This window comes from Homo sapiens, chromosome 14 (assembly GCF_000001405.40).
Source record: "Homo sapiens chromosome 14, GRCh38.p14 Primary Assembly".
In the NCBI taxonomy this organism is placed as follows: Eukaryota; Metazoa; Chordata; class Mammalia; order Primates; family Hominidae; genus Homo; species Homo sapiens.
In genome coordinates, this window is record NC_000014.9 from 88,431,570 (window position 1) to 88,449,960 (window position 18,391).

At 37.5% G+C, this 18,391-nt stretch overlaps 1 protein-coding gene across 11 annotated transcripts in view; it reads left to right on the plus strand.

Annotated features, from left to right (window-relative positions):
• SPATA7 (spermatogenesis associated 7) overlaps positions 1-18,391 on the plus strand; it is an 84,694-nt gene that overhangs the window by 45,913 nt on the left and 20,390 nt on the right. For 6 of the 11 annotated variants that reach the window (XM_005267851.2, NM_018418.5, XM_005267852.3 and 3 more), the window contains 3 exons: positions 1,566-1,643; positions 5,974-6,028; positions 6,269-6,891. In XM_005267851.2, coding sequence (XP_005267908.1) covers positions 1,566-1,643; positions 5,974-6,028; positions 6,269-6,853 — 718 coding nt within the window. In that variant the 3' untranslated portion in view covers positions 6,854-6,891. Of the gene's footprint in view, positions 1-1,565; positions 1,644-5,973; positions 6,029-6,268; positions 6,892-18,391 lie in introns of those variants that run through there. The other 5 variants (XM_006720205.2, XM_047431581.1, XM_047431584.1 and 2 more) reach the window with 1 other exon arrangement.

An 18,391-nucleotide genomic window follows, 5' to 3' on the forward strand; every position in this document is an offset into this window, starting at 1 on the left:
TATAATTTTGTATCTTGTAACAAATCTCAGCTTGTCCCTCATTCCCGTCTACCCTTCCCAGCCTCCAGTACCTTCTGTTCTACTTTCTACTTCTATGAAATCAACTGTTTTTAGCTTCCACATATGAGTGAGAACATGCGATGTTTAACTTTCTGTTGCTGGCTTATTTCACCAGCATCCATCCATGTTCCATCCATGTTGCCACAAATGACATGATTTTATTTGTTTTTATGGCTGAATAGTATTTCATGGTGTATATATACATTTTCTTTATCCATTCATCTGTGAACACTAATCTCTCTTACAACCAGCTTTGGGATATCAATCGTATAATACATACTAAATTTGAGAAACTGACCTGAATAATTTTCTCGAATTTTTTTGAGAAATAATAACAACTTTCTGGAATAATTATCAATCACGTCATTTTTATCTCCAGTAGAAATTTGTCCCCAGGTATTACCTGATACTTTTTAATAATCAGTATCCATGATTCTTACTTATTTTTTAAGTAAAAATAATAAAATAATAAAGAAGAGTTTTAGAGAAATGCAGACTTTTAATAGTTCAGGATACTCTTTCCAGAGGTTTCTAACCTCAGCAGTTCTTTGCAGATATTTTATTTGTAGATTTTAATGTTGTTTTAATTAAGTTACTCTTTTTAGGGAAAATAATTTATAAAATTTTATTTATTTTCAAATATGCTGTTTTTAAATAAGCAAGACCCTGTGAATCAGTTTGAAAGTGTAACTTTTTATTAAACATTTAAATCTATTATTTGATTTGCTTATTAACTCTTCCCTTATATTTGCTTATTCAGTAATTTAGTTACTTGCTACTTACATTTGGTATTAATTCACTAATTTCAGCTAATTAAAATCAAACGTACAATAATATCCTAATTTTCTTGTAATAGCTACTAAAATATAGTTATAATAGAGAAGTGTGTTCAAGTAGTTAAAAATTACCACAAGATTTATGTTCACAAATTTTCCTATGAGAATTTTTCGTCTCCAAACGTTTTGAGAGAAAAAATAAATTTTTCTGCTTAGTAAATTTCTCAACCTTAAAACAAGATGCTGGCCTAGGGCTAGGAGAGGACTTCTTAGTTGAAGCTCCTGCTTCTCTGGACAACTTTCCTCTTCCTTCTTGCAAATGCTTTGCAGAGGGACTTGCACCTCTGCTGCTGGACCTGGTCAGGAGCAAGAGGAAATTTAAAACATTCCTCGGGAGTGCTTGCTCCCAGTGGATTGCATTTGATTGCGCCTTGTCCTTCGTTGCTTTCTTTTTGTGTTGTTTAATTCTGCTTGTTTTTTACTGCTATGGATGTTGCAGATATCTGTGAAATTTTACTCTATTAGGTCATCACCTTTAGTAAATATTTATCCTTGCATAATTTGAGAAGGTAGACATGTTTGTTTTGTAATATTCCCCTTAGTAATATGAGATAGAAGTACATTGGTAATGGTAGAGATAGATATTTCTAATTAGGTACTAATGTTTCTTACAGTTTTCAGAATAAGTAAGGAATAATTTTTATGCTATATATTGCCTTCCTTTTACAGTGAAGAAGAACTGTTGTATCTGAGTTTCATTGAAGATGTAACAGATGAAATTTTGAAACTTGGTTTATTTTCAAACAGGTTAGTTTTTTTAATGGTGTTATGTTAATTCAGGAGTACATTAAATATTCTTCATATTTCTTCATATGATGTTAAAATTTTAAAGTTATTTTCCCATATTAGGAAATGAAAAAATATATTGCTTTCTTGGAAACTTATTATTATAATTGATAGCAAGTTGTAAAGAATGTTTAATTCATACTCTAGGGGAAGTTCACCACTTGGGAGAATTAAAGAATAGAGCTTTTATTCATTTTAATATTATATCCCTTGAGTTATAAGTGACTAGTGAAGGAAGATCTTTATCACTTATTTGCAAAGCTCCATAATCCCATTTTACTACCTAAAATTGTCATGAGAATCAAAAGCAAGCATTTTTGGTGCAACCATTATTAGTATTAGATCTAGTAAAATGAGAACAAATTAAGAGCTAGGTTTGCACGCTGTAAGTTAAATGGAAAGTTTGCAAAACCAGATTAGCTATTGCATAGCTTAAGGAAACTGTGTGTCCTGAATTTTGCTTGAACATTTATGTATCTAAGATTCATTGAGCACTGAGCTCTACTTTGTGTTATGTAACCTAGGACCCTATTATGTATACTACTTGCTTTCTCTGTCATAATAATATGCCAAGCATAGACATTTTTAATAAATTATTTCTATCCTCTACATCAAGTTTTTTAAAAAATTAAAGCAAACATTTTCATTATTGGTATAAAAAGGCATATCAAAAAGACCTAAGATTTTTGGCATTAATTCTGTTGACCCCTTTCATTTTAAAAAGTTGGTTAATAATATTTGCATAATATGGGTAAAGAGTTTCAGGATACATAATGAAAAGTTTTGGCAATCTGTATCACAATATGAATATACCTAACACTGCTGAATCGTGCACTTAAAAATGGTTAAGATGATAAGTTTGGTTAGTTTTTGCCACCACAAGAAAAAAAGTACACATACAAAATCATATGTATTTATGCTTAAAATTTTATGTTTTTCTCAAGATTATAAGACTGTTTATTACAGCATTTTTATAATTGTACCAAAAACCAGAATCAACCTAAATGTTTAATGGTAAATGTTTGGTTGAATAAACTGTGGAATATATATGAAATGTGAGGTCTGTTTAGGGATTAAAAATGATGTTGAAGTGAATTTACAGATATAGAAAGATGTTAAAGATATATGTCATTGATTAGAAAAAACAAAATAGGGCTGGGCGCAGTGGCTCACACCAGTAATCCCAGCACTTTGGGAGGCTAAGGTGGGCGGATCACAAGGTCAGGAGTTCAACACCAGCCTGGCCAATATGGTGAAACCTCATCTCTACTAAAAATACAAAAATTAGCTGGGCGTGGTGGTGCGCGCCTGTAGTCCCAGCTACTCAGGAGGGTGAGGCAGGAGAATCGCTTGAACCCCGCAAGGCGGAGGTTGCAGTGAGCTGAGATCGCGCCACCGCACTCCATCTTGGGCGACAGAGTGAGACTCTGTCTCAGAAAAAAAAAAAAAAAGAAAAAGAAAAAAGAAAAAACAAGATAGATACCCAAATAGTATGTATTGTTTAATTACAAGTTGGTAAAGAAATACAAATGAATAGAAAAAATGCCTAGTAGTGAATATTCTAAAATGTTAACAATAGTTGTAAAAAGTAGAATACAGATTTCTTGGGTTTTAATAAAAAATTGTGAAATAATTCAGAACTACTAACTCTGAGGTTGGTTCATAACTTCACTGATGCTAGCAAATGATAACAAAGGAAATTAGTTGTTTTTTAAGAAACTGTTGATACATTCCTGTGATAGAGAGGTGAGCATGGTGTTCTAGAATGAAGAAATTCTGTGGAGCCAGACACATCTGGGTTAAATTCTCCTAAAGGCTTTTGACCTCAGGGGAGAGGAAATTATCATCTTAGAGATGTGGCTTTCTCGTCTTTAAAATGGTTTTTACACTATCTTTCCCTCCCTACATTGGTCAGAACTAGAGGTAAAATGATTATTATGACTAGCACAGTAGCACTTAATGGAAATTAATAGGTGATAACTTTTAAATTATTATGTGGATTTACCATCAGTGGGAGTTTTTAAATTTTTTAATTATTTTTTAAAATTTTGTGAGGTACACAGTAGGTATGTATATTTAAGGGGTACATGAGATGTTTTGATACAGGCAAGCATTGTGAAATAAGAACGTCACGGAGAGTGGGGTATCCATCCTCTCAAGCATTTATCCTTTGAGTTACAAACGATCAGATTACATTCTCTAAGTTATTTTAAATGTACAATTAAGTTACTATTGACTGTAGTCACCCTGTTGTGCTGTCAAATGGTCTTATTCATTCTTTCTATGTTTTTGTACCCATTAACTACCCCACTTAACCTGCAGCCCTCTACTACCCTTCCCAGCCTCTGTTAACCATCCTTCTACTCTCTATGCCCATGAGTTCAATTGTTTTGATTTTTAGATCCCACAAATACGTGGGAGAATGCAATGTTTGTCTTTCTGTGCCAGGCTCATTTCACTTAATATAATGATCTCCAGTTCCGTCCATATTGTTGCAGATGACAGGATCTCACTTTTTTAATGGCTGAATAGTACTCCATGGTGTATATGTACTACGTTTTTTTATCCATTCATTTGTTAATGGACACTTAGTTGCTTCCAAATCTTAGCTGTCATAAACAGTGCTACGACAAACATAAGAGTGCAGGTATCTCTTCGATATCCTGACTTACTTCCTTTTGGGATTGCTGGAACATATGGTAGCTCAATTTCTAGTTTTTTGAGGGACCTCCAAACTGTTCTCCATAGTGGTTGAACTAATAGTTTACATTCTTACCAACAGTGTGCAAGGATTCCCTTTTCTCCACATCCTCACCAGCATTTATTATTGCTTGTTTTTGCATATAAGCCATTTTAACTGGAGTGAGATGATACCTCATTGTAGTTTTGATTTGCATTCCTCTGATGATCAGTGATGTGTGGAATACCTTTTCATATTCCTGTCTACAATTCGTATGTCTTTTGAGAATTGTCTATTCAAATCTTTTGCCCATTTTTTGATTGGGTTATTAGATTTTTCCCTATAAATCTAATAGTAAATAGTTGTTTGAGCTCCTTATATATTCTGGTTATTAATTCCTTGTCAGAGGGGTAGTTTGCAAATATTTTCTCCCATTCTGTGGATTGTCTCTTCACTTTGTTGGTTATATCCTTTGCTGTGTGGAAGCTTTTTAATTTGTGATCCCATTTGTCCATGTTTGCTTTGGTTGCCTGTGCTTGTGGGATATTACTCAAGAAGTCTTTGCCAGACCAGTGTCCTAGAGATTTTCCCTCAATGTTTTCATTTAGTAGTTCCATAGTTTCAGAACTTATATTTAAGCCTTTCATCTATTTTGATTTGATTTTTGTATGTGGTGAGAGATAGGGGTCTAGTTTCATTCTTTTGCATATGGGTATCCAGTTTTCCCATTACCATTTATTGAAGAGACTGCCTTTTCCCCAGTGTATGTATGTTCTTGGCAACTTTGTCAAAAATGAGTTCACTATAGGTGTGTGGATTTGTTTCTGAGTTCTCTATTCTGTTCCATTGGTCTGTGTCTGTTTTTATGCCTGACCATGCTGTTTTGGTTACTGTAGCTCTGTACTGTAATTTGAAGTCAGGTAACATGATTCCACCAGTTTTGTTCTTTTTACTTAGGATAGCTTTGGCTATTCTGGGTCTTTTGTAGTTTCATGTACATTTTAGGATTTTTTTTTCTATTTCTGTGAATAATGTCACTGGTATTTTGATAGGGATTGCATTGACTCTGTAGATTGCTTTGGGTGGTGTGGACATTTTAACAATATTGATTCTTCCAATCCATGAATTTGGAATATTTTTCCTTTTTTTTTTTTGGTGTCCTTTTCCATTTTGTTCATTGGTGTTTTATACTTTAATATAGGAATTTTTAAAAGTATAATTTAGGAAGGATTATAAAATATCTCTGTAAGAGGTTTTTCTTTAGGGTTTGGTTGTGTGTGTGTGTGTGTGTGTAAATATCGGGGTAGAGAGGCTTTGGGTGTTTGCATATGTCTGTGAGAGAAAAACAGCTTTTTGGTGGTGGGGTGAGAAAAAGGAGAATTTTATTCAAAGAAATAAAAGTAGCATACAGTCTTTCAGAAATATGTAATGTGAAGCAAATGCATAATGGAAGAACTTAGAACAGGAAAGGATTAGTCTTCAGCTTTACAGAGAAAAAGAAAAATCTGAAAAACATTTTTCAACCTTTGTAGTTTCAGTGTTACGTAGCTAGTTTATATTTAGATGATTTTCTGATTTTGAGACATTAACATTTTTGTTTATCATTTGTAGGTTTTTAGAACGACTGTTCGAGCGACATATAAAACAAAATAAACATTTGGAGGAGGTTTGTCTTTCCTTATAACTTCATTAGAAAAATTATAATGTAAAAATAATTGTATGGTTTTTTTCATACCTTCAAACAATACATTAAAAGCAAGTGCTTTTTTTTTCCCTTGAACTTTTTTGAGGGTGGTGGTGGGAGAAGTGAAAGGAAAAGTATTAATCCTGTGAGATTTTCAGCACTGCAGTCAAAATTTAATTTGACTCAATTAATGTAATTAGTCTCATCTTTTCTTAATCCTAGGAAAAAATGCGCCACCTGCTGCATGTCCTGAAAGTAGACTTAGGCTGCACATCGGAGGAAAACTCGGTAAAGCAAAATGATGTTGATATGTTGAATGTATTTGATTTTGAAAAGGCTGGGAATTCAGAACCAAATGAATTAAAAAATGAAAGTGAAGTAACAATTCAGCAGGAACGTCAACAATACCAAAAGGCTTTGGATATGTTATTGTCGGCACCAAAGGATGAGAACGAGATATTCCCTTCACCAACTGAATTTTTCATGCCTATTTATAAATCAAAGCATTCAGAAGGGGTTATAATTCAACAGGTGAATGATGAAACAAATCTTGAAACTTCAACTTTGGATGAAAATCATCCAAGTATTTCAGACAGTTTAACAGATCGGGAAACTTCTGTGAATGTCATTGAAGGTGATAGTGACCCTGAAAAGGTTGAGATTTCAAATGGATTATGTGGTCTTAACACATCACCCTCCCAATCTGTTCAGTTCTCCAGTGTCAAAGGCGACAATAATCATGACATGGAGTTATCAACTCTTAAAATCATGGAAATGAGCATTGAGGACTGCCCTTTGGATGTTTAATCTTCATTAATAAATACCTCAAATGGCCAGTAACTCAATATTACTTTTCTTCCTTTTTTAAAATGTATGTATAAGATTTCTCTATTGGTTTTCTGTGCTGCAATAATAAGTTACCAGAAACCTAGCGGCCTAATGTGCCACACATTTATTATTTATCCCACAGTTTTGTGGATCAGGAGTGTAGGCACAGCTTAGTTGGGTCCTCTGTCCTGGGTCTCACAAGGCTACCCCACAATCAAGGCAGTGGCTGGGGCCATGTTTTCATTAAGAGGCTTGTTGGCAGAATTATCCTCCTTGCAGTTATAGATTTGAGGGCTTCGTTGTCTTGCTGACCAGTGGCTAGAGGCTGCCTATAGTTCTCTGCCACTTGGCCCTTTCCTTAGGGAAATTATAACGTGGCTGCTTGCTTTTTTAAGGATATCAGGAAAACCAGAGAGATTCTGCTAACAAGATGGAGTCTTATATAATGTAACATAATCACAGGAGTGACTTTCTATCACCTTTACCGTGTTCTTTTGGGTAGAAGCAAGTCACAGGTCTTGCCCACACTTAAGGGTTGGGAATATATACAAGGGTGTGAATGCCAGAACACAGGAATCACTGGGGTCATCTGAGGACCTGCTGGCCACAATTTCTAAAATCACTTTTCAGAGGAAAACATATTTTACCTATATTTTCAGAGGAACATATTTTACCCAGACATAAGCGGTTTTGTAGGCTATGGGAAATGGTTTATGATCTGGTGTGAGTCTTGAAGCGTTGGACCTTGTCTGCAATATCTTTAATTTTGTTTTTCTCACTTTTCCTGCAATATCTAAAGCCTCAAGGACCTTTCAGTTGTCAGTGACCCAGGGAATTCTGTCAGCTGGCTGAGATGTTGTCTCTTGTTGTGAGTGCAAACATTTAGTCAGACCTGTCTGAAGCCCTCTCCTACCCTTGTAGCTCATGAATGAGACCCTTACTATTAGAACATGGCCCAGCAGATTCATCTCTAATTATACCTTTTTAACTATTTACAATAATATAATTGAATATTTGTGTGCCCATTATGTACAAAGTTTCATGCCTAGATACTGTGGAGGATAAAAACAATAACCCATTTTGTTTTTATAAGCTATATTTTAATTTTATATTTAAAAAAATACAACCCAGGTATTCTTCTAAAAACTTAACAGTGACTTCCAAGTATCCTGTTCTTTAACTCGGGTTTTTATCATCCTTTGGCCATAGCAGTGTTTCCCAAAGGGTGGTACTTACCACTGGAGACCTGAGAGTTGATTTTAGTGGTATGTGGATGACAGGTCCATCTCATTCATGGGATGCTGACCATCACCACTGTCTTCAGGATAAGACACAGGTACAACCTGCAAAGCACAATATGGTGGGACTGAGCACCCAACCCACTTTTCACCTCCACTGTCGGAATCCCCAACTCACCCTGCTACAACCCTTTTTTGGCACACCTTCCCCTCAGCCCTCACCTCTGGACTTCTTCCCTTTAACCCTGTAAGCAACACCGTCTATCCCCTCTTGCAGTCCTCTTAAACCTCCTGAAATAACCTTGGCTCTATTCTTGGTCCCCAGCCTGGGTCTCCCCATCTGTTAGATCTTTACCCCTCTAGTTGCTTCTTGGGTTCTGTTGTTCCTCAGCCCCAGGGTTCCTTTCTTCAGTCCCAGCCTCACTCTTTCACAAACCCCCTCTTCCCATTCCCCATGTAACTACCCCAGACCTACTGGCCTGGCCCAAATTTTCCTTCCTTGGCTGGAGCTACCATCTGTCTTTCCGGAGGCATTCTCAGAAACTATCTCCTGGCTGCTGTTCTCCAACACTTTGGTCCAAGCCCCAGACCTGCCCTATTTGACATTCAGTCTTCATGCTCTAACTCTGGGTACAGCTTCTTGTCTCTGGGGCCATGACCCATCCTAATTTGGATACCTATTAGGACAATTTGTTGTTATCCTTTAGTTTCCCTTTAAGTTTTAAAAGGTGAGTTGATTTAAAGAAATATTAAAAATGGTTCTTGAATGTGGCAAAAGTATTATAGTATGAAGGTAGGATGTGGGTGGTAAGTTTGGGAAACAGCACTTAAACTCTTCTAGCAGCATCTTTTTTTATCCCTAAGACATCTTGTTACAGCATCAAGCAACATCTTTATATCTTCCCCTCTTCCTTCTCACACAGCCCATCAACTGAGGCTGAGAGGCATGATGAATGCGAGTGTGTCTTCTGAGCCAGGTTGCCTGGATTTGATTCCTTTTGAGCTGTGACTTTGAGCTGGGTTACTGAGCCTGTGTGTGTTTTCTCATATCTTGGAGAGGGGTAATTATAGAGCCTTTATCATAGAATACAAGAATTAAATGAGCTTGCATGATAAATACAGGCTGCTGCTACTTTTTTTTTTGCTATTTATTTTTTATTTCAGTAGGATTTTGGGAACAGGTGATGTTTGGTTACATGAATAAGTTCTTCATTGGTGACTTCTGAGATTTTGGTGCACCCAGCACCTAAGCAGTGTACATTGTACCCAATGTGTAGTCTTTTATCCCTCACTCCCCGCCTACCCTTTCCCCTCAGCCCCCAAAGTCCATTGTATTATTCTTATGCCTTTGCATCCTCATAGCTTAGCTCCCACTTATGAGTGAGAACATACAATGTTTGGTTTTCCATTCCTGAGTTACTTCACTTAGAATAATGGTCTCCAATTCCATCTAGGTTGCTGCAAATGCCATTATTTCATTCCTTTTTATGGCTGAGTAGTATTCAATTGTGTGTGTGTGTGTGTATATATATACACACATCACATTTTCATTATCCACTTGTTGATCGATGGGCATATGGGCTGGTTCCATATTTTTGCAATTGTGAATTGTACTCCTATAAACATGCGTGTGCAAGTTATCTTTTTTGTATAATGACTTCTTTTCCTCTGGGTAGATACCCAGGAGTGGGATTGCTGGATCAAATGGTAGATCTACCTTTAGTTCTTTAAGGAATCTCCACACTGTTTTCCATAGTGGTTGCACTAGTATACATTCCCACTAACAGTGTAAAAGTGTTCCCTGTTCACCACATCCACACCAATATCTACTATTTTTTTATTTTTTGATTATGGCCATTCTTGGAACAGTAAGGTGGTATCGCGTTGTGGTTTTGATTTGCAGTTCCTTGATAATTAGTGATGTTGAACATTTTTTCATATGTTTATTGGCTATTTGTATATCTTCTTTTGAGAATTGTCTATTCATGTCCTTAGCCCATTGTTGATGGGATTGTTTTTGTTTCTTGCTGATTTGTTTGAGTTACTTGTAGATTCTGGATATTAGTCCTTTGTCAGATGTATAGATTGCAAAGATTTTCTTCACTCTGTGGGTTGTCTGTTTACTGATTATTTCTTTTGCTATGCAGAATCATTTTAGTTTACCTAAGTATCATCTGTTTATCTCTGTTTTTGATGCATTTGCGTTTGGGTTCTTGGTCATGAACACTTTGCCTAAGCCAGTGTCTAGAAAGGCTTTTCTGATGTTATATTCTAGAATTTTTATAGTTTCAGGTCTTAGATTTAAGTCTTTGATCCATCTTGAGTTGATTTTTCCATAAGGTGAGAGATGAGGATCGAGTTTCATTCTTCTACACGTGGCTTACCAATTGTCCCAGCACCATTTGTTGAATAGCTTTGTTGACAGTCAGCTGACTGCAAATATGTGGCTACATTTCTGGGTTGTTTATTCCATTCCTTTGGTCTATATGCCTGTTTGTTTGTTTGTTTGTTTGTTTGTTTGTTTTTGAGGCAGAGTCTCACTCTGTCACCCAGGCTGGAGTGCAGTGGTGTGATCTGGGCTCACTGCAACTTCTGCCTCCTGGGTTCAAGCGATTCTCCGACCTCAGCCTCCCAAGTAGCTGAGATTACAGGCACCTGCCACCATGCCCAGCTAATTTTTGTAGTTTTAGTTTGTAGTTTGTAATTTTAGTAGAGACGGGGTTTCACCATGTGGGCCATGTTGGCCAGGCTGTCTCAAACTCCAGCATAGAAGGTATGTTCCTTCTATGCTGATTTTGCTGAGGGTTTTAATCATAAAGGGATGCTGGATTTTGTCAAATGCTTTATCTGGTCTATTCAGATGATCATGTGATTTTTGTTTTTAATTCTGTTTATGTGGTATATCACATTTATTGATTTTCAGATGTTAAACCATCCCTGCAGCCCTGGTATGAAACCCACTTGATCGTGATGGATTATCTTTTTGATATGCTGTTGGATTCGGTTAGCTAGGATTTCGTTGAGGATTTTTGCATCTGTGTTCATCAGGGATGTTGGTCCATAGTTTTGTTTTTTTGATATGTCCTTTCCTGGTTTTGGTATTAGGGTGATCATGGCTTCATAGAATGATTTAGGGAGGATTCCCTCTTTATCTTTTGGAATAGTGTCCATAGGATTGGTACCAATTCTTCTTTGAATGTCTGATAGAATTCAGCTGTGAATTCATCTGGTCCTGGAATTTTTGGTTTTTTGTTAGTAATTTTTTTTTTTTTTTTTTTGAGATAGAGTCTCGCTCTGTCACCTAGGCTGGAGTGCAGTGGTGCGATCTCAGCTCACTGCTGCAACCTCTGCCTCTTGGTTTCAAGCAACTCTCCTGCCTCAGCCTCCCAAGTAGCTGGAATTACAGGTGCCTGCCACTGCGCCCAGCTAATTTTTGTATTTTTAGTAGAGACATGGTTTCACCATGTTGGCCAGACTGGTCTTGAACTCCTGACCTCGTGGTCCACCCGCCTTGGCCTCCCAAAGTGTTGGGATTACAGGCGTGAGCCACTGTGCCCAGCCTATTTTTGTTGGTAATTTTTAAATTACCATTTCAATCTCACTGCTCGTTATTGGTCTGTTTAGAGTTTTCTGTTTCTTCCTGTTTAATCTAGGAGGGTTGTATATTTCCAGGAATGTATCCATCTCCTCTAGGTTTTCTAGTTTATGCATGTAAAGCTGTTCATAGTAGCCTTGAATCATCTTTTTTGTTTCTGTGGTATCGGTTGTAATATGTCCTGCTTATTTCTTGTATTTATTTATTTATTTATTATTATTATACTTTAAGTTTTAGGGTACATGTGCACAATGTGCAGGTTAGTTACATATGTATACATGTGCCATGCTGGTGCGCTGCACCCACTAACTGGTCATCTAGCATTAGGTATATCTCCCAATGCCATCCCTCCCCCGACCCCACGACCCCACAACAGTTCCCAGAGTGTGATGTTCCCTTTCCTGTGTCCATGTGTTCTCATTGTTCAATTCCCACCTATGAGTGAGAACATGTGGTGTTTGGTTTTCTGTCCTTGAGATAGTTTGCTCAGAATGATGGTTTCCAGCTTCATCCATGTTCCCACAAAGGACATAAACTCATCCTTTTTTATGGCTGCATAGTATTGCATGGTGTGTATGTGCCACATTTTCTTAATCCAGTCTATCATTGATGGACATTTGGGTTGGTTCCAAGTCTTTGCTATTGTGAATAATGCCGCAATAAACATACGTGTGCATGTGTCTTTATAGCAGCATGATTTATAGTCCTTTGGGTATATACCCAGTAATGGGATGGCTGGGTCAAATGGTATTTCTAGTTCTAGATCCCTGAGGAATCGCCACACTGACTTTCACAATGGTTGAACTAGTTTACAGTCCCACCAACAGTGTAAAAGTGTTCCTATTTCTCCACATCCTCTCCAGCACCTGTTGTTTCCTGACTTTTTAATGATCGCCATTCTAACTGGTGTGAGATGGTATCTCATTGTGGTTTTGATTTGCATATCTCTGATGGCCAGTGATGGTGAGCAGTTTTTCATGTGTTTTTTGGCTGCATAAATGTCTTCTTTTGAGAAGTGTCTGTTCATGTCCTTTGCCCACTTTTTAATGGGGTTGTTTGTTTTTTTCTTGTAAATTTGTTTGAGTTCGTTGTAGATTCTGGATATTAGCCCTTTGTCAGATGAGTAGGTTGTGAAAATTTTCTCCCATTTTTTAGGTTGCCTGTTCACTCTGATGGTAGTTTCTTTTGCTGTGCAGAAGCTCTTTAGTTTAATTAGATCCCATTTGTCAATTTTGGCTTTTGTTGCCATTGCTTTTGGTGTTTTAGACATGAAGTCCTTGCCCATGCCTATGTCCTGAATGGTAATGCCTAGGTTTTCTTCTAGGGTTTTTATGGTTTTAGGTCTAACGTTTAAGTCTTTAATCCATCCTGAACTGATTTTCGTATAAGGTGTAAGGAAGGGATCCAGTTTCAGCTTTCTACATATGGCTAGCCAGTTTTCCCAGCACCATTTATTAAATAGGGAATCCTTTCCCCATTGCTTGTTTTCCTCAGGTTTGTCAAAGATCAGATAGTTGTAGATATGCGGCGTTATTTCTGAGGCCTCTGTTCTGTTCCATTGATCTATATCTCTGTTTTGGTACCAGTACCATGCTGTTTTTGTTACTGTAGCCTTGTAGTATAGTATGAAGTCAGGTAGTGTGATGCCTCCAGCTTTGTTCTTTTGGCTTAGGATTGACTTGGCGATGCAGGCTCTTTTTTGGTTCCATATGAACTTTAAAGTAGTTTTTTCCAGTTCTGTGAAGAAAGTCATTGGTAGCTTGATGGGGATGGCATTGAATCTGTAAATTACCTTGGGCAGTATGGCCATTTTCACAATATTGATTCTTCCTACCCATGAGCATGGAATGTTCTTCCACTTGTTTGTATCCTCTTTTATTTCCTTGAGCAGTGGTTTGTAGTTCTCCTTGAAGAGGTCCTTCACATCCCTTGTAAGTTGGATTCCTAGGTATTTTATTCTCTTTGAAGCAATTGTGAATGGGAGTTCACTCATGATTTGGCTCTCTGTTTGTCTGTTGTTGGTGTATAAGAATGCTTGTGATTTTTGTACATTGATTTTGTATCCAGAGACTTTGCTGAAGTTGCTTATCAGCTTAAGGAGATTTTGGGCTGAGACAATGGGGTTTTCTAGATATACAATCATGTCATCTGCAAACAGGGACAGTTTGACTTCCTCTTTTCCTAACTGAATACCCTTTATTTCCTTCTCCTGCCCAATTGCCCTGGCCAGAACTTCCAACACTGTGTTGAATAGGAGTGGTGAGAGAGGGCATCCCTGTCTTGTGCCAGTTTTCAAAGGGAATGCTTCCAGTTTTTGCCCATTCAGTATGATATTGGCTGTGGGTTTGTCATAGATAGCTCTTATTATTTTGAAATACGTCCCATCAATACCTAATTTATTGAGAGTTTTTAGTATGAAAGGTTGTTGAATTTTGTCAAAGGCCTTTTCTGCATCTATTGAGATAATCATGTGTTTTTTGTCTTTGGTTCTGTTTATATGCTGGATTACCTTTATTGATTTGCGTATATTGAACCAGCCTTGCATCCCAGGGATGAAGCCCACTTGATCATGGTGGATAAGCTTTTTGATGTGCTGCTGGATTCGGTTTGCCAGTATTTTATTGAGGATTTTTGTATCAATGTTCATCAAGGATATTGGTCTAAAATTCTCTTTTTTGGTTGTATCTCTGTCCGGCTTTGGTATCAGGATGATGCTGGCCTCATAAAATGAGTTAGGGAGGATTCCCTCTTTTTCTATGGATTGGAATAGTTTCAGAAGGAATGGTACCAGTTCCTCCTTGTACCTCTGGTAGAATTCGGCTGTGAATCCATCTGGTCCTGGACTCTTTGGTTGGTAAGCTATTGATTATTGCCACAATTTCAGATCCTGTTATTGGTCTATTCAGAGATTCAACTTTTCCTGGTTTAGTCTTGGGAGGGTGTATGTGTCCAGGAATTTATCCATTTCTTCTAGATTTTCTAGTTTATTTGCATAGAGGTGTTTGTAGTATTCTCTGATGGTAGTTTGTATTTCTGTGGGATCGGTGGTGATATCCCCTTTATCATTTTTTATTGCATCTATTTGATTCTTCTCTCTTTTTTTGTTTATTAGTCTTGCTAGCAGTCTATCAATTTTGTTGATCCTTTCAAAAAACCAGCTCCTGGATTAATTAATTTTTTGAAGGGTTTTTTGTGTCTCTATTTCCTTCAGTTCTGCTCTGATTTTAGTTATTTCTTGCCTTCTGCTAGCTTTTGAATGTGTTTGCTCTTGCTTTTCTAGTTCTTTTAATTGTGATGTTAGGGTGTCAGTTTTGGATCTTTCCTGCTTTCTCTTGTGGGCATTTAGTGCTATAAATTTCCCTCTACACACTGCTTTGGATGCGTCCCAGAGATTCTGGTATGTGGTGTCTTTGTTCTCGTTGGTTTCAAAGAACATCTTTATTTCTGCCTTCGTTTTGTTATGTACCCAGTAGTCATTCAGGAGCAGGTTGTTCAGTTTCCATGTAGTTGAGCGGTTTTGAGTGAGATTCTTAATCCTGAGTTCTAGTTTGATTGCACTGTGGTCTGAGAGATAGTTTGTTATAATTTCTGTTCTTTTACATTTGTTGAGGAGAGCTTTACTTCCAAGTATGTGGTCAATTTTGGAATAGGTGTGGTGTGGTGCTGAAAAAAATGTACATTCTGTTGATTTGGGGTGAAGAGTTCTGTAGATGTCTATTATGTCTGCTTGGTGCAGAGCTGAGTTCAATTCCTGGGTATCCTTGTTGACTTTCTGTCTCGTTGATGTGTCTAATGTTGACAGTGGGGTGTTAAAGTCTCCCATTATTAATGTGTGGGAGTCTAAGTCTCTTTGTAGGTCACTCAGGACTTGCTTTATGAATCTGGGTGCTCCTGTATTGGGTGCATATATATTTAGGATAGTTAGCTCTTCTTGTTGAATTGATCCCTTTACCATTATGTAATGGCCTTCTTTGTCTCTTTTGATGTTTGTTGGTTTAAAGTCTGTTTTATCAGAGACTAGGATTGCAACCCCTGCCTTTTTTTGTTTTCCATTTGCTTGGTAGATCTTCCTCCATCCTTTTATTTTGAGCCTATGTGTGTCTCTGCACGTGAGATGGGTTTCCTGAATACAGCACACTGATGGGTCTTGACTCTTTATCCAATTTGCCAGTCTGTATATTTTAATTGGAGCATTTAGTCCATTTACATTTAAAGTTAATATTGTAATGTGTGAATTTGATCCTGTCATTATGATGTTAGCTGGTTATTTTGCTCATTAGTTGATGTAGTTTCTTCGTAGTCTCGATGGTCTTTACATTTTGGCATGATTTTGCAGCGGCTGGTACCGGTTGTTCCTTTCCATGTTTAGCGCTTCCTTCAGGAGCTCTTTTAGGGCAGGCCTGGTGGTGACAAAATCTCTCAGCATTTGCTTGTCTGTAAAGGATTTTATTTCTCCTTCACTTCTGAAGCTTAGTTTGGCTGGATATGAAATTCTGGGTTGAAAATTCTTTTCTTTAAGAATGTCGAATATTGGCCCCCACTCTCTTCTGGCTTGTAGAGTTTCTGCCGAGAGATCCGCTGTTAGTCTGATGGGTTTCCCTTTGAGGGTAACCCGACCTTTCTCTCTGGCTGCCCTTAACATTTTTTCCTTCATTTCAACTTTGGTGAATCTGACAATTATGTGTCTTGGAGTTGCTCTTCTCGAGGAGTATCTTTGTGGCGTTCTCTGTATTTCCTGAATCTGAACGTTGGCCTGCTTTGCTAGATTGGGGAAGTTCTCCTGGATAATATCTTGCAGAGTGTTTTCCAACTTGGTTCCATTCTCCCCGTCACTTTCAGGTACACCAATCAGACGTAGATTTGGTCTTTTCACATAGTCCCATATTTCTTGGAGGCTTTGCTCGTTTCTTTTTATTCTTTTTTCTCTAAACTTCCCTTCCCGCTTCATTTCATTCATTTCATCTTCCATCGCTGATACCCTTTCTTCCAGTTGATCGCATTGGCTCCTGAGGCTTCTGCATTCTTCACATAGTTCTCGAGCCTTGGTTTTCAGCTCCATCAGCTCCTTTAAGTACTTCTCTGTATTGGTTATTCTAGTTATACATTCTTCTAAACTTTTTTCAAAGTTTTCAACTTCTTTGCCTTTGGTTTGAATGTCCTCCCGTAGCTCGGAGTAATTTGATCGTCTGAAGCCTTCTTCTCTCAGCTCGTCAAAGTCATTCTCCGTCCAGCTTTGTTCCGTTGCTGGTGAGGAACTGCGTTCCTTTGGAGGAGGAGAGGCGCTCTGCTTTTTAGAGTTTCCAGTTTTTCTGCTCTGTTTTTTCCCCATCTTTGTGGTTTTATCTACTTTTGGTCTTTGATGATGGTGATGTACAGATGTGTTTTTGGTGTGGATGTCTTTTCTGTTTGTTAGTTTTCCTTCTAACAGTCAGGACCCTCAGCTGCAGGTCTGTTGGAGTACCCAGCCGTGTGAGGTGTCAGTCTGCCCCTGCTTGGGGGTGCCTCCCAGTTAGGCTGCTCGGGGGTCAGGGGTCAGGGACCTACTTGAGGAGGCAGTCTGCCCGTTCTCAGATCTCCAGCTGCGTGCTGGGAGAACCACTGCTCTCTTCAAAGCTGTCAGACTGGGACATTTTTTTGTCCTGCTTATTTCTAATTGAGTTTCTTTGGATCTTCTCTCCTTTTCTTCGTTAATCTCACTAATGGTCTATCAATTTCATTTCTCTTTTCAAAGAACCAGCTCTTTGTTTATCTTTTATATTGTGTTTTTTTTGTTTGTTTCAATTTCATTTAATTCTGCCCTGATCTTAGTTATTTCTTTACTTCTGCTGGGTTTGGGTTTGGTTGATTCTTGTTTCTCTAACTCCTTGAGGTGTGACCTTAGATTGTCTATTTGTACTCTTTCAGACTTCATGATGTAGGCATTTAATACTATGAACTTTCCTCTTAGCTCTGTCTTTGCTGTATTCCAGAGGTTCAGATATTTTGATAGTTTGTGTCACTACTATCATTCAGTTCAAAGAATTTTTTAATTTCCATCTTGATTTCATTGTTGACCCAGTGATCATTCAGGAGCAGGTTATTGTACTTCCATTTATTTGGCATGGTTTTGAGGGTTCCTTTTGCAGTTGGTTTCTAATTTTATTCTACTGTGGTCTGTGAGAGTACTTGATAAGATTTTTATTTTTTAAAATGTGTTGAGACTTGTTTTGTGGCCTATCATATATGGTCTATCTTGGAGAATGTTTCATGTGCTGATTAATGAATATATACTCTGCAGTTTTTGGCTAGAATGTTCTGTGAATATCTGTTTAGTTTATTTGTTCTAGGGTACAGTTTAAGTCCATAGTTTCTTTGTTGACTTTCTGTCTTGATGACCTGTCTACTGCTGTCAGTGGAGTATTGAAGTCCCCCACTATTACTGTATTAACATCTATCTCATTTTTTTGGTCTAGTAGTAATTGTTTTGTAAATTTGGGAGCTCCAGTGTTAGGTGCATAGATACATTTAGGATTGTGATATTTTCCTGCTGGACTAGTCCTTTTATCATCATATAATACCCCTCTTTGTCATTTTTAACTGCTGTTGCTTTGAAGTTTGTGTGATACAAGAATAGCTACTCCTGCTTGCTTTTGTTGTCCATTTGCATGGAAAGATATTCCATTGGTAACAAATATCCCACTGGTA